This window comes from Homo sapiens, chromosome 2 (genome assembly GCF_000001405.40).
Source record: "Homo sapiens chromosome 2, GRCh38.p14 Primary Assembly".
Lineage (NCBI taxonomy): Eukaryota > Metazoa > Chordata > Mammalia > Primates > Hominidae > Homo > Homo sapiens.
In genome coordinates this window covers 46,462,366-46,479,140 of record NC_000002.12, presented here as the reverse complement: position 1 = coordinate 46,479,140, position 16,775 = coordinate 46,462,366, and the positions used below count along the sequence as shown (strand labels likewise).

Genomic DNA, 16,775 nt, shown 5'->3' with positions numbered 1-16,775 from the left:
AGACAGGGTCTTTATAGAGGTGATTAAGTGAAAGTGAGATCATTAGGGTGGGATCCTAATCCAGTATGACTGGTGTCCTTGTAAGAAGATGATGATGTGAAGACAAGGGAGAAAATGGCTATCTACAAACCAAGGAGACCGGCATTGTATTAGGGTTCTCCAAAGAAACATAAAATGACATTTATTACACAGAATTGGCTCATGCAATTATGGAGGCTGAGAAGTTTTATGATCTCCCATCTGCAAGCTGGTGTCCCTGGAAAGCGGGTGGTATAAATTCCAGTCTGAGCGCAAAGGCCTGAGAACCAGGAGCACTGATGGTGGAAGTCCCAGTCCAAGGTCAGGAGAAGACTGACGGATCACCTCATGTAGTCAGGCAATTGAATTGAGAGCACCAGTTCAACTGGCAGTCTGCCTTGTTCCATTTAGGCCCTCAGTGGAGTGGATGAATCCCACCCACATTGAGGAGGGCAGACTGCTTTACTCAGTCCACCAATTCAAATGTTAATCTCTTCCAGAAACACCCAGAAATAACATTTAATCAGAGATCTGGCCATCCAATGGCTCACTGACGTCAACATGTAAAATTAACCATCGTAGACCTGGAATAGATCTTTCTCTCCTAGCACTCAGAAGGAACCAACCCTGCTGGCACCTTGATCTCTGATGCTGACTCTCCAGGATTGCGAGAAAATAAATTTGTGTCATTTACGCCAACCAGTCTGTGGTTCTTGGTTACAGCAAACCTAGGACACTAATACAACCCATCATTCATACTTCCACGTGGGTAGAATGGAGGGCTGGGGAATGTATTTTGTCATCTTCCATTTTGTGAAAAAAGCAGCAAAACATCTTTGGTAGTTGAAAGCAGGATTGCAATATGGAAAGACAAAGGGCTGCATTTGAATTCCAGCTTCGCTACTCTCTCCGGCTGTGTGATCAAGGGAAAGTGTATTCATTTGTAAATGGGATAAAGATTTAGCCACTTCCCTACGTTGCAGCACCGATGTGAAAATTAGATAGGGTAGGAGGGGGAGTTCCAAGATGGCTGAATAGGAATAGCTGCAGTCTACAGCTCCCAGCGTGAGCAACGCAGAAGACAGGTGATTTCTGCATTTCCAGCTGAGGTACCAGGTTCATCTCACTGGGGCTTGTCGGACAGTGGGTGCAGCCCACGGGGCATGAGCCAAAGAAGGGAGGGGCATCGCCTCACCCGGGAAGTGCAAGGGGTGGGGGAATTCCCTTTCCTAGCCAAGGGAAGCCATGATAGACAGTACCTGGAAAATCAGAACACTCCCACCCTAATACTGTGCTTTTCCAACGGTCTTAGCAAATGGCACACCAGGAGATTATAGCCTGTTCCTGGCTTGGAGGGTCCCACACCCACGGAGCCTCGCTCACTGCTAGCACAGCAGTCTGAAATCCAACTGCAAGGCGGCAGCAAGGCTGGGGGAGGGGCGTCTGTCATTGCTGAGGCTTGAGTAGGTAAACAAAGCAGCCAGGAAGCTCGAAATGGGTGGAGCCCACCACAGCTCAAGGAGGCCTGCCTGCCTGCCTCTGTGGACTCCACCTCTGGGGGCAGGGCATAGCTGGACAAAAGGCAGCAGAAACTTCTGCAGACTTAAACGTCCCTGTCTGACAGCTTTGAAGAGAGTAGTGGTTTTCCCAGCACGGAGTTTGAGATCTGAGAACAGACAGACTACGTCCTCAAGTGGGTCCCTGACCCCCAAGTAGCATAACTGGGAGGCACCTCCCAGTAGGGGCTGACTGACACCTCATACCACTGGGTGCCCCTCTGAGATGAAGCTTCTAGAGCAAGGATCAGGCTGGAGTGGACCTCCAGCAAACTCCAACAGACCTGCAGCTGAGGGTCCTGACTGTTAAAAAGAAAACTAACAAACAGAAAGGACATCCACACCAAAACCCTATCTGTACATCACCATCATCAAAGACCAAAGGTAGATAAAACCACAAAGATGGGGAGAAACCAGAGCAGAAAAGCTGAAAATTCTAAAAATCAGAGCACCTCTTCTCCAAAGGAATGCAGCTCCTCGCGAGCAATGGAACAAAGCTGGACGGAGAATGAATTTGATGAGTTGAGAGAAGAAGGCTTCAGACGATCAGTAATAACACACTGCGAGCTAAAGGAGGATGTTTGAACCCATCACAAAGAAGCTAAAAACCTTGAAAAAAGATTAGACAAATGGCTAACTGGAATAAACAGCATACAGAAGACCTTAAATGACCTGAAGGAGCTGAAAACCATGGCACAAGAACTACATGACGCATGCAGAAGCTTCAGTAGCCGATTTGATCAAGTGGAAGAAAGGGTATCAGTGATTGAAGATCAAATGAATGAAATGAAGTAAGAAGAGAATTTTAGAGAAAAAAGAGTAAAAAGAAACGAACAAAGCCTCTAAGAAATATGGGACTATGTGAAAAGACCAAATCTACATCTGATTGGTGTACCTGAAAGTGACAGGGAGAATGGAACCAGGTTGGAAAACACTCTGCAGGATATTATCCAGGAGAACTTCCCCAACCTAGCAAGGCAGGCCAACATTCAAATTCAGGAAATACAGAGAATGCTACAAAGATACTTCTCGAGAAGAGTAACTCCAAGACACATAATTGTCAGATTCACCAAAGTTGAAGGAAAAAATGTTAAGGGCAGCCAGAGAGAAAGGTCAGGTTACCCACAAAGGGAAGCCCATCAGACTAACAGCAGATCTCTTGGCAGAAACTCTACAGGCCAGAAGAGAGTAGGGGCCAATACTCAACATTCTTAAAGGAATTTTCAACCCGGAATTTCATATCCAGCCAAACTAAGCTTCATAAATGAAGGAGAAATAAAATGCTTTACAGACAAGCAAATGCTGAGAAATTCTGTCACCATCAGGCCTGCCTTACAAGAGCTCCTGAAGGAAGCACTAAACATGGAAAGGAACAACTGGTACCAGCCACTGCAAAAACATGCCAAATTGTAAAGACCATCGATGCTAGGAAGAAACTGCATCAACTAACGAGCAAAATAACCAGCTAACATCATAATGACAGCATCAAATTCAGACATAACAATATTAACCTTAAATGTAAATGGGCTAAACGCTCCAATTAAAAGACACAGACTGGCAAATTGGATAAAGAGTCAAGACCCATCAGTGTGCTGTATTCAGGAGACCCATCTCACGTGCAGAGACACACATAGGCTCAAAATAAAGGGATAGAGGAAGATCTACCAAACAAATGGAAAACAAAAAAAAGCAGGGGTTGCAATCCTAGTCTCTGATAAAACAGACTTTAAATCAACGAAGATCAAAAGAGACAAAGAAGGCCATTACATAATGGTAAAGGGATCAATTCAACAAGAAGAGCTAACTATCCTAAATATATATGCACCCAATATAGGAGCACCCAGATTCATAAAGCAAGTCCTTAGAGACCTACAGAGAGACTTAGACTCCCACACAATAATAATGGGAGACTTTAACATCCCACTGTCAACTTTAGACAGATTAATGAGACAGAAAGTTAACAAGGATATCCAGGAATTGAACTCAGCTCTGCACCAAGCAGACTTAATAGACATCTACAGAACTCTCCACCCCAAATCAACAGAATACACTTTGTTCTCAGCACTACATCGTACCTATTCCAAAACTGACCACATAGTTGGAAGTCAAGCACTCCTCAGCAAATGTAAAAGAACAGAAATTATAACAAACTGTCTCTCAGACCACAATGCAATCAAACTAGAACTCAGGATTAAGAAACTCACTCAAAACCGCTCAGCTACATGGAAACTGAACAACTTGCTCCTGAATGACTACTGGGTACATAATGAAATGAAGGCAGAAATAAAGATGTTCTTTGAAACCAATGAGAACAAAGACACAACACACCAGAATCTCTGGCACATATTCAAAGCAGTGTGTAGAGGGAAATTTATAGCACTAAATGCCCACAAGAGAAAGCACGAAAGATCTAAAATTGACACCCTAACATCAGAATTAAAAGAACTAGAGAAGCAAGAGCAAACACATTCAAAAGCTAGCAGAAGGCAAGAAATAAATGAGATCAGAGCAGAACTGAAGGAGAAAGAGACACAAAAAACCCTTCAAAAAGTCAATGAATCCAGGAGCTGGTTTTTTGAAAAGATCAACAAAATTGATAGAGTGCTAGTAAGACTAATAAAGAAGAAAAGAGAGAAGACTCAAATAGACACAATAAAAAATGATAAAGGGGCTACCACCACCGATCCCACAGAAATACAAACTATCATCAGAGAGTACTATAAACACCTCTATGGAAATAAACTAGAAAATCTAGAAGAAATGGATAAATTCCTGAACACATATATCCTCCCAAGACTAAACCAGGAAGAAGTTGAATCCCTGAATAGAACAATTAACAGGCTCTGAAATTGAGGCAATAATTAATAGCCTACCAAGCAAAAAAAGTCCAGGATCAGACAGATTCACAGCCAAATTCTACCAGAGGTACAAAGAGGAGCTGGTACCATTCCTTCTGAAACTATTCCAATGAATAGAAAAAGAGGGAATCCTCCCTAACTCATTTTACAAGGCCAGCATCATCCTGATACCAAAGCCTGGCAGAGACACAACAAAAAAAGAGAATTTTAGATCAATATCCCTGATGAACGTCGATACAAAAATCCTCAATAAAATACTGGCAAACCGAATCCAGCAGCACACCAAAAAGTTTATCCACCACGATCAAGTTGGCTTCATCCCTGGGATGCAAGGCTGGTTCAACATATGCAAATCAATAAACATAATCCATCATATAAACAAAACCAAAGACAAAAACCACATGAGTATCTCAATAGATACAGAAAAGGCCTTCAACAAAATTCAACAGCCCTTCATGCTAAAAACTCCCAATAAATTAGGTGTTGATGGGATATATCTCAAAATAATAAGAGCTATTTATGACAACCCCACAGCCAGTATCATACTGAATGGGCAAAAGCTGGAAGCATTCCCTTTGAAAACTGGCACAAGACAGGGATGCCCTCTCTCACCTCTCCTATTCAACATAGTGTTGGAAATTCTGGCCAGGGCAATCAGGCAGGAGAAAGAAATAAAGGGTATTCAATTAGGAGAAGAGGAAGTCAGATTGTCCCTGTTTGCAGATGACATGATTGTTTATTTAGAAAACCCCTTAGTCTCAGCCCAAAATCTCCTTAAGCTGATAAGCAACTTCAGCAAAGTCTCAGGATACAAAATCAATGTGCAAAAATCACAAGCATTCCTATGCACCAATAACAGACAAACAGAGAGCCAAATGATGAGTGAACTCCAATTCATAATTGCTTCAAAGAGAATAAAATACTTAGGAATCCAACTTACAAGGGATGTGAAGGACCTCTTCAAGGAGAACTACAAACCACTGCTCAAGGAAATAAGAGAGAATACAAACAAATGGAAGAACATTCCATGCTCATGGATAGGAATAATCAATATCGTGAAAATGGCCATACTTCCCAAGGTAATTTATAGATTCAATGCCATCCCCATCAAGCTATCAATGACTTTCTTCAAAAAATTAGAAAAAAAAAACTACTCTAAAGTTCATATAGAACCAAAAAAGAGCCCACATTGCCAAGACAACCCTAAGCCAAAAGAACAAAGCTGGAGGCATTACACTACCTGACTTCAAACTATACTACAAGGCTACAGTAACCAAAACAGCATGATACTGGCACCAAAACAGAAATATAGATCAATGGAACAGAACAGAGCCTTCAGAAATAATACCACACATCTACAACCATGTGATCTTTGACAAACCTGACAAAAACAAGCAATGGGGAAAGATTCCCTATTTAATAAATGGTGCTGGGAAAACTGGCTAGCCATATGTAGAAAGCTGAAACAGGATCCCTTCCTTACACCTTATACAAAAATTAGTTCACTATGGATTAAAGACTTTAATGTTTGACCTGAAACCATAAAAACCCTAGAAGAAAACCTAGGCAATACCATTCAGGACATAGGCATGGGCAAGGACTTCACGACTAAAACACCAAAAGCGATGGCAACAAAAGCCAGAATTGACCAATGGGATCTAATTAAACCAAAGAGCTTCTGCACAGCAAAAGAAACTACCATCAGAGTGAACAGGCAACCTACAGAATGGGAAAAATGTTTACAATCTACCCATCTGACAAAGGGCTAATATCCAGAATCCACAAAGAACTTAAACAAATTTACAAGAAAAAATCAACCCCATCAAAAAGTGGGTGAAGGATATGAACAGACACTTCTCAAAAGAAGACATTTATGCAGCCAATAGACACATGAAAAAATGCTCATCATCACTGGCCATCAGAGAAATGCAAATCAAAACCACAATGAGATACCATCTCACACTAGTTAGAATGGCGATCATTAAAAAGTCAGGAAACAACAGGTGCTGGAGAGGATGTGGAGAAATAGGAACACTTTTACACTGTTGGTGGGACTGTAAACTAGTTCAACCATTGTGGAAGACAGTGTGGCAACTCCTCAAGGATCTAAAACTAGAAATACCATTTGACCCAGCCATCCCATTACTGGGTATATACCCAAAGGATTATAAATCATGCTGCTATAAAGGCACATGCACACGTATGTTTATTGCGGCACTATTCACAATAGCAAAGACTTGGAACCAACCCAAATGTCCATGGATGATAGACTGGATTAAGAAAATGTGGCACATATACACCATGGAATACTATGCAGCCATAAAAAATGATGAGTTCATGTCCTTTGTAGGGACATGGATGAAGCTGGAAACCATTATTCTCATCAAAGTATCGCAAGGACAGAAAACCAAACACCGCATGTTCTCATAGGTGGGAATTGAATAATGAGAACACTTGGACACGGGGTGGGGAACATCACACACTGGGGCCTGTTGAGGGGTGGGGGGAAGGGGGAGGGATAGCATTAAGAGATATACCTAATGTATATGATGAGTTAATGGGTGCAGCACACCAACATGGCACATGTATACATATGTAACAAACCTGTACATTGTGCACATGTACCCTAGAACTTAAGTATAATAATAAATTAGATAGGGTGTTTAGCCCACAAGCTGCCCATACAGGGACTAGGCAAAAGAGAACCATGATCACCATTATTCTGAGCAGTAGATTTTGCCACTGGGGAGAGGAGAATGCTCAAGGTTCACTTTCTGTCTTTGCAAATCGTTAACTGAACCATGGCTTTCCCCTCCCAACATTATGGTGGTGACCATGTAAATGATCTCACAGCTGTTGTGTAAGATATCTATCCTGCCTCAGGCACTACTAGGAGTAGGATTACCAGATAGATACAGGATTCCCAGTTAAATCTGAATTTTACATAAATTTTAGTATAAATATGTTCTAAAAATTGGATGGGACAGATTTCTAAAAAGTTATTTGTCTGTAATTCAAATTTAACTGGGAATCCTGTATTTTTATTTGTTAAACCTGGCAATCTTAACCAGCAGAGATCTGCTTAAAGAAACAATGACATATGTACAAATAATCCACTGCTGTTAAATCACCAAGTATGGAAATGCACAATAAGTACTATGGGTAGTTGTCAGCTATAGATCAAACAACCCTAAATGATCAGTGGCCCACAACAATAAACATTTCCTTAGCTCAGACATCTAAAGGTAGGCTGATTTAGGCTGGATTCAACTGGGGGAGCTTGGCCGAGGCAGCTTTGTTTCATGTGTCTCTTATCTTCCTCTTGGGAATAGTGGGGTAGCTTAGGCATACCCTTTGCTCGGGGATGGAAGAAGTACAAGAGGCCTTGGAGCTGGCACACCATCACTTCCATCTTATGTTATTGGAGAAAGCCAGTTGTATGGGGAAACTCAAAGGATGGTGAAACGTACTCTGCCCAGTTAGTGGGAGGAACCACAAAGAAAGATAAAAGGTCTCGATATAGGGGATGAAGAACTGGGGCCAATCAGGCAATGTACCATAGGAGTCAAGAGGTCAGGGCTCAGGGTCTCATGCCTGTAATCCCAGTACTTTGTGAGGCTGAGTCTAGAAGATCGCTTGAGCCCAGGAGTTCAAGACCAGCCTGGGCAACATAGTGGGAATCCACCTCTATAAAAAAAAAAAAAAATTAGCTGGGCATGGTAGCATGTACTCGGGGTCCTAGCTACTTGAAAGGTGGAGGTGTGAGGATCGCTTGAGCCCACTTAAGTGAGCTGTGATCTTGCCACTGCACTTCAACCTGGGTGACAGAGTCTGACTAACTCAAAAAAAAAAAGGATCAGGGTTGATGTGCCTGGAGTAGCTGAGGAAGGTTTGGTGGAAGAGGGAACATGAAGGGTGGGTGGGATTTGGGTGAGAGGAAAGGATCAGCATGAGTAAAGTGTCAATTGATCCTCATCATCTGTTGCCTTCTGTTTCTCCTCTCTGCCCTTCCCCTAGGAGGCAGACCTCCATGAAAGTGTACTAATTCATTAAGCAGAGCAATGTATTCCAAAGCAACATACAGTCTAGCATTCTCATTTCCCTGTCTCTAGACCCCTGTCCTTTAGGGAACTTCCCAGAAGTGGAGGAAACAGGTCTTACGAGCCTTGGGTCGGTTTGGCACTGGTGACAGTATGAAAAGAGCTTCTGCTTTCTCTGTTGAGTTCAGAGAAAGGAAGTGTATAGTAAAGCCATATGCAAGGGTAAAGGAGACAAGAACACGTGGGAGCCCAGCAACAGGGATGAGGGATGAGCTGGCCTAGCAGGGACTGTGCTGGATTCAGGGCAATTCTGAGACCAGCAGCCAGAGTTGGTGCAGCTTCACATGTGCCTTGTCATTCGTATAACTCAGCTGATTTCGGTGTTTCTGCTTCTCCGTGTCCCCTCACTTCCCATCAACAGCCTTCCTCACCCCCGTCAACCCACAACCTCCAACCTCATACTTCACTGTAGGCAAGGTTCCTGCTTCCTCCTGACTTCAGCTTACTCATAACTTCAGCTTCTAATGGTTCTTCATAGCCTCAACTGTATGGCCTCTCGGTATGCCTTCTGTGTTGTTTGTCCTACTTAAGTCACTCATGATTTCCTGGTAGACCTTTCCAAGGGCAGGAATCAGAATAACCTGGCTTATCTCTACTGGGACAGAGCTTTTCATTCTAGGGAAGCCTGTTATTGGGCTACCATGTGATCCTGTCTCCCTTACCCCTGCAAATGGCTTTACTATAAACCTTTCTCTGAGCTCAGTGGAGGAGGCGGAGGCTCTTTTCACACTGTCACGAGTGCCAAACCAACCCAAGGCTCATGCAACCAGTCTTCTCAACTTCTGGAAAATTCCCTGAAGGACTGGTATCTAGAGACAGGAAAATGAGAATGCTAGACTCTGTGTTGCTTTGTATTGTTTTGGTTAATGAATTAATGCAGTTTCATGGAGGTATGCCTCCTAGGGGAAGGGCAGAGAGGAAACATAGAGGCAACAGATGATGAGGATCATTATCAGATGGGGAAGGTGCCCAGCCCAGTTCAGTCTGGTGAAGTGGAAGGATGGGGAGGGCAGGGTGATACGGCACAGTGCACAGCAGCCTCGGATTGTCTGTCAGCAGGAGCTGCAGATGGGTCAGTTTCCCTTAGAAGGGACAGTGGGAGTAGCAAGCACCATGTTGAAGATTGATGGGCACATTCACAGAGCAACGTATCAATTCTAGATTTCACAACCAGATGAGAGACTTGTGTATTAGTACAGCGCGCACAGGCTTTCATGTACATTATCTCATTTGATTCTCACAATGCCCTTGTGAGGCCATTTAAAGCAGGTACAGTGATGCTGCCTGATAAACAAGAAAATCGAGTCACTCGGGCAGATGAGGTGATGCGTCTCTGCATGCAAAGGATGTTAGTGGTTGAGCATTCCATGACTGGAATGCAGGCTTCCCATCTCCTTTCCCTGTGTCTTTATACAATATTACAAAGATGGTCTTTGGGGCCTGTAACTCTTCAGAGGTGAGAGGATTTTCTGCCTCATAAAAATTAGCATATCCATAGAGGTGTATTACAGCGTTATTTGTAACAGCAAAAGACTGGAAACAAATTTCCACCAGAAGGGATCTGGTTAAACAATTAGTGCTGCATCCTTATGAATACCATGTAGATGCTAAAAAGAACAAGACGAAAGAAAAAATGAGAATACAGTAGCTTCATCAGTGCAAATACCTTGTTCTTCAAGATTTTTTTTTTTTTTTCAGGACAGGGTCTCACTCTGTCACTTAGGCTGGGGTGCATTGGCACTGTCATGGCTCAATTGCCGCCTTGACCTCCTGGGCTCAAGAGATCCTCCTGCATCAGCCTTCCAAACTGCTGGAATTACAGGTGTGAGCCACCGAGCTTGGCCCCAAGATATGTTATTTACTAGGAAAGCAAGAACAGTTCTTCCATATGTATTAAAATATGAAAATATAGTAGAGTATGTCTGAAAAGATACAAGAAACTGCTTCATGGTGGCTGTCTGTGGTCAGAGAGCTGAGGGGTTGGGGGTCAGAAGGAGACTGATTCTTAACTATAATACCATTTTGTACTCTTTGACTTTTTTTTAAACCATGTACATAATATACATATATGTAATTTATATGCATTATATATATGCATATATATTTTATATATATAATTTTTTTGACACAGTCTCACTCTGTCACCCAGGCTGGAGTGCAGTGGTGAGATTATGGCTCACTGTAGCTTTGACCTCTCCCAGTCCAAGCAATCATCCAATCTCAGCCTCCCAAGTAGCTGGGTCTGTAGGCACATGCCACCATGCCTGGCTAATTTTTGATTTTTGATTTTTTGATCCCAGAGATGGGGTCTGGCTATGTTGCCCAGGCTGGTCTCAAACTCCTGGATGCAAGTGATCCTCCCACCTCAGCCTCCCAAAGAGCTGGGATTATAGGTGTGAGCCACTGCGTCTGGCCTATCTTTTCAACTAAAAATGTAAAAAGATGTCTGGAGGAGAGACCTTTGCTCAGCACAGGTGAAGAAAGTTTAGTATGTATAACTTGTTCAAGTTGAGGACAGACAGGTATCTTTGAGCCACTTGGTCATATCCTTGCCACCTCCCTCTACCTCCAATCCAGGGTAGTCTTCCTTCAACCAGGAATGGACATCTTACTGCAAAAATGTCCTCTTCCTTTTCTAACTGCCTCAGCTTCAGACTCTGTTGTGGCTTTGAACACTTTCCTCAGATGTCTTGAAGTGTTTAGAAGATTATAATAGTAACAGTAATAATCGCTTACATTTATCGGGCACTAACCATGTACCAGACACTGAGAATTTTTCACGGATCATTTTACTTAATTTTCAGAGCAATCTATGAGTTAGGTACCATTATTACTTTTATCTTTAGAGAAGTGGAAACTGAGTTGCCGACAGAAGTTACCTGCCCACAGTTACACAGCTAGGAAGAGGTGAAGCTAGGATTTCGGTACTAAAGTCTCTGTATTCAATCCCTTCCTGCTTGAAATACTTAGTGTGGTTTCTGTTTTCCTGGCTGAACCCTGGCTGACATAAGTACTATCCAAGAGAAAGACTTGACTCAGGGTGCTCCAAGGATTCATTGGAGAAATCAGACTGAGGAGGGAGAAGGGAGTATACAGGCAAGTGGGTGAATGCACGTGTATGAGTGTTGTATCAGTCAGGGCCTAGTCAGGAGACAGAAACCACACAATAATTCCAACAGGGAAGGTAGAATATAAAGAATTATTAACTAGGAACAGGGGACTGGTTACTACTTAGAGGGTAAAAGAGAACTCTAATATATCTAGACTAGAATAAACTTAGAAGAGGTGCCCCTCTTTGGAGATGGTATGGCTGAAGCACTGAATGGCATAAAAGTTTGCTGAGGTCAAGGTCAAACAGGTCAACCCTGGTAAGTGCTGGATGTGAACAAAACTCATTGGTAAGCTTCCTGCCATTGAACCTGCCAGGAAGTTACTGAAGAGAACCTTAGCTGGGAAACTTTTTGGGGAGCTTCCCCAAGGTGCTACTGAAGTTTTCTGGGGGTGACAGTCACTAAGTGTTCTACATGTGGGCCAAGCATTAGAGCTTTGCCAGAGTAGGAAAAAAGGAAGGCACTCAAGAACCAGGAAGAGAAGCCCCTTCCTCCAGTGACGTCTCTCCAGTGCTATCTACTGACAAAGCTTAATACTGTGCTAGCTAACAAGGGACATGTTAATAGGTTCAGCTTCAGTTATCACAAGCAGGGAAATTAAGTGAGGATGTGCTGCAGAGAGGCAATACATGGGAAACTGGCATAGTGTGTACTTACTAGCAAGTCAGTTTCCTTTCAACACACCTGCCTCTTTGCCCTGGGGAAATGTCCTGACTTGAGAAGTTCACCCAAAAACAGTATTTTGCAAGCCCCTTCCACATTCATGACCCTGTCCTAGGCACTCCGAGGAAACACCAAGGATCATCATATACAATTCCTTCCTTTCTGGAATTTATAATCAAGTTGGAGACAGGGAATGCATCTTAATGTTCTCTAAATACATCCTATGCTTGCCTGCCTTCCTGTCTTTGCTGGCAGTTTCCTTGGCCTACAAAACCCTCTTATTTCCACCTGTGAACATACTCCCATCTCCAGCTACTACCACCTGTGCTACACGTCTCTCTGGCTGCCTGGTGATAAAATGTTCTGGCCTTGTGTCATCTCTACCACTAGATTAGAGGCTGGCTGAGGACGGAGCACACTACCTTGCTCACTGTAGGTGCCATTAAAGAGTCAGTTTGGTCAATGGCCCTGGCCAGGAGGGACTGGCTCCCTTCTGGTTGGCAAGTATGAAAAAGGCTGGTGGACCAGAGGGTCAAAGAGTTATACCTTCTCTCTCTTTTTTTTGGGGGGGGGTGCGGGGGAGGGATGGAGTCTCACTCTGTCACCCAGGCGCGATCTCAGCTCACTGTAACCTCTGCCTCCTGGGTTCAAGTAATTCTTCTGCCTCAGCCTCCCGAGTAGCTGGGACTACAAGTGTGTGCCACCATGCCTGGCTGATTTATTGAGGGAGACTCCAACGATATCATAAGGGAGACCCTCCGCTATCTTTCAGCTGAGCCAGTTTGTGCACCGGGAATTAAGAAAGCAAATTCTAAACGGCTTCTTGGGAGCGGCACCAACAGCAGGTGCATGACTATGCTCCAAGCCCACATGTTGTAAGATGGAAACAATAACAGCCCCATAGGAGGCAGAACAGGCAAAATTGCCCTCATTTTTAGATGCAGGAGCTGCACCCCCAGAGGATTCCAATAACTTGCCAAGGTTATTTTTAGTAGAGTCAGAGTTTCACTATATTGGCCAGGCTGGTCTCAAACTCCTGACGTCGTGATCTGCCCGCCTCGGCCTCCCAAAGTGCTCGGACTACAGGCATGAGCCACCGCGCCTGGCCACCTTCTCCTTTTTGTGCTCACACACACCCAGCAGAACCAGAGGCCTTAATTCCTAATTCCTAACCACTTTCCTTTTATTTCTCTACCTTGATGTGGGTGGATCAGCAGTAGATGAATTCTCACAACGTTGGATGTACATCAAAGTCTTATAAGTTCAATTCTATTTTAAATGCTTGGGTAGCAGGGTGACAGGTGTGGGAACTTTGCTGTTTAAAGGAACTTTATGCATAATTGGAAAAACTGCTTTCCCTCAGTTTATAATTTATGGGAACCCAATAGTCATTCGTGTACTGGGTTTGGTAAATCAAAGCCCCCTTAAGGTGACCTCGGAGAAACCTGAATAAAGGTGTTCTTGGACTCAAGCAGATTGGAGCTGCAGAAGAAAGGAATGTTCCAAGGTAGAGTCTGTGTTAGGCTGAAATCTGCGGCTTTCATTATTCAGAGCTGGAAGGGGCCCTGGAAACCATCCAGCCTGGGCCCATGGTAGCTATCAGTAACAGCTTACTGATTGATTCATTTGGGATCAGAGGAGAGACCCGGTGGAGTGTAGTGGAAGATGTTCTGCGCGGGTGACAGGAGTCCTGGCATTCTGGCCCCAGCTCTGCCATTAGCCAAGCCAAGACCTTGGCAAGTTATTGGAATCCTCTGGGGGTGCAGCTCCTGCATCTAAAAATGAGGGCAATTTTGCCTGTTCTGCCTCCTATGGGGCTGTTATTGTTTCCATCTTACAACATGTGGGCTTGGAGCATAGTCATGCACCTGCTGTTGGTGCTGCTCCCAAGAAGCCGTTTAGAATTTGCTTTCTTAATTCCCGGTGCACAAACTGGCTCAGCTGAAAGATAGCGGAGGGTCTCCCTTATGACATCGTTGGAGTCTCCCTCAATAAAGCCTCCTTGAATGTTTCATCTGACACCTTTTTTATTTTGCATAAATTAACACAAAATAAGCTTATTCCCCTAAAGAACTCTCCACTGTGTGCACTGCTCTATCCTCCCACTCCCCTCAGCAACAATAAGAGGGTAACCTCGTGCAGCTCTGTGAAGCAAGCATTAACTGATACTGCCCCCTTGTGGTCCCCGCTTAACGTTGGTGGGAGGCTTTCAGCTTAGTTTGTCCAGGGATTCCTGCTCCTGCCCCATTGCAGAATTATCAGAAGGTCACCTCAGAAAAGCAGAACCAACAAGAACCTTGGGAGGGATTTCAGCTTCAGAGAATGCCCGGTGGCAACCCAAGTCAGTAGCACTAGCTTTGTGGAGGTCTGTGTTCCAGGGAGGAGATGAACGTGGGAGGAGGATACGTGGGAGCTGGACCCAGACAGAACCATGGGAATGAGATGGACCATGGAAGGAGCCAGAAGTAGGGGGGCATACGGCGTTTGGGAGGCCTAGCAGGAGGCAGTAAGCAGCCATCCCAGCAGGCAGGTGCAGCATGGCCTGAGGCTCCTTCCAGCAGACAGGAGGCATCGACAAAGCTGTGGAAGTAAGGGGCTGGGTTTGTCCTGTGGCTTGGGGTAGGACATCAGACCCTTGAAGGGATGTAAGGTTAAGAGCTGGGGGACCTGAAGTGGAATGACAGATAGAAGACTGAGGCAGGAGGAGGGGGGGGCGGTCTGGCAGGAAGCCAAGTTCAGGACTGAGGAAATAAGGTGAGGGGCCAAGAGTAGGCATTCGGGTCTCGAACTGCAGTAGTGGGTGGGACTCAGTTACCAGATTTGGGGGTTAGGTTAGGGAAGGTGTGGTCCAAGGCTGACCTGCACCATAGGCACTGGGTATTCCCACAGGTGACTGAGAGGCCCCTGGGTTGACCAGAGTCCCCAGAGGTGAGCTGGATCTATGGGAAAGGAGTCAGTGCCCAGCTGCATGTGAGGGATGGTCACTCCAAACCTGTGTTTAGATCTTTATAAGATTCTGTGTAAGATCTGAGTTTGGCAAATTCTGGAGCACCTGGCTTGTTTCTTCTCTGCCAACCCCAGCAGAGCCTGCACCCACCCCAGACAGCTCAGGCAGGCCCTGCCCCTTCCCTAACCTTGCACTGCTAGAGCCTGATTTGAGCCCCAGTGTAACTTCCTTGCCAGGAAATCAAAGCTGGCATGGGAGCTGCAACCCTGAGAGGAATCCCATCTACAGACTCATGCTAACTCATGGTGACGGGTCACACGTGGTGACGTGCCACTCTTCCCAGGCATATTTGCCTTTGTATCGAGGCCTCTTCATCCAACGATGAAGTTTTAGGTGTAGAGGCAGGTTAATGAGAGAGATGGCTGGGAGTCAGGGGAAGGCTTCTCAGACCCTTTTCTTGTGCCACAAGATGATGAATACCTATCAGCTTAAAACACAAGTACTTAATGTAGGTCCCTCCTTAAAAACCCAAACACGGGCTGTGGCTGTGACTGTGTTGGCTGTCTGCTGGTTAAGAGGCTGCCTCAGTTGCTGGCAGGTTCAAAAATGGCTCATTTTACAGGGACTGAATCAGCACCTGGGTTTCGTCTGAGGTTTAGAGGAGTTTTGAACATGGCTTTGCTTTCAGAGGTCAACCATTTGGGCAGTGTTTCCCAGAGAGTATTTCTCAGGAAGCCAATCCCAAGGGATGGACCATGAAGATCAAGTTTCCATGACTGGAAAGTTTGGGAAGTTCTGTACACCATACCCGCCTGCTAGAAATTCATGATTCATATGGTTGTGTTGAAGCATCTTGAGACATCTGGCATTGAAGGGAACCGCTGTACTTTTTGTTTAATGCAGATTTTCCCAAGTTTATTTGACTCTAGACTCATTACCTCTGGTGTGCTCTGTGTTTCCATCCCTCAGAACTAGTTTCCCACAGAATTCAAGGGGAACCTGCTTTGGCGATATAAGAGAGTGGATCCAATGAAGCTTTGACCTGCAGAAGCTGCCAGAAAGCCTCTGACCTTGGTGTGCACTACCTGCAACTTCAAAGGGGCTTCCACAACAGCCCCAATCCACTCCTGTAATCTCCCTTGACTGCCTTGGGTCATATACCTGCAACATGAGATTGGAAGTAGGATTGCCAGAGTTAGCAGCTAAAAAGAGAGGAGGACCAGCTACATTTCAGATAAATAACGTTTTCATATAAGTATATCCCAGGCAGAATCTGGCAAGCTTATGTGAAAGATGCCTGAGAGGTATGGGGAAGCCTCTGGGAACAGGCGGACCCTGAGAGGTCTTAGGGGAGAACTGTGCTGGGCCCTTGACATCGTGCCGTGATGCCACCACCACCAGTCATTTATGAGGGCACGTATGCGTTAGGCCTTGGGCTAGGGGTCCACATGAACCTTTGTTTCATTCCTTTCATGGGGGATTGTGATTATCACCTCTATTTATGTGTGAAGAAACTGTGGCTC

At 44.6% G+C, this 16,775-nt stretch overlaps 2 annotated features.

Annotated features, from left to right (window-relative positions):
• Positions 673–1,239: an enhancer, noted in NCBI's record as "NANOG-H3K4me1 hESC enhancer chr2:46705041-46705607 (GRCh37/hg19 assembly coordinates)". NCBI's record gives its function as "activates a minimal SCP1, AML or CMV promoter by ChIP-STARR-seq in primed H9 embryonic stem cells {active_cell/tissue: H9 hESC(primed)}" and the evidence as "EXISTENCE:reporter gene assay evidence [ECO:0000049][PMID:30033119]".
• Positions 1,240–1,806: an enhancer, noted in NCBI's record as "H3K4me1 hESC enhancer chr2:46704474-46705040 (GRCh37/hg19 assembly coordinates)". NCBI's record gives its function as "activates a minimal SCP1, AML or CMV promoter by ChIP-STARR-seq in primed H9 embryonic stem cells {active_cell/tissue: H9 hESC(primed)}" and the evidence as "EXISTENCE:reporter gene assay evidence [ECO:0000049][PMID:30033119]".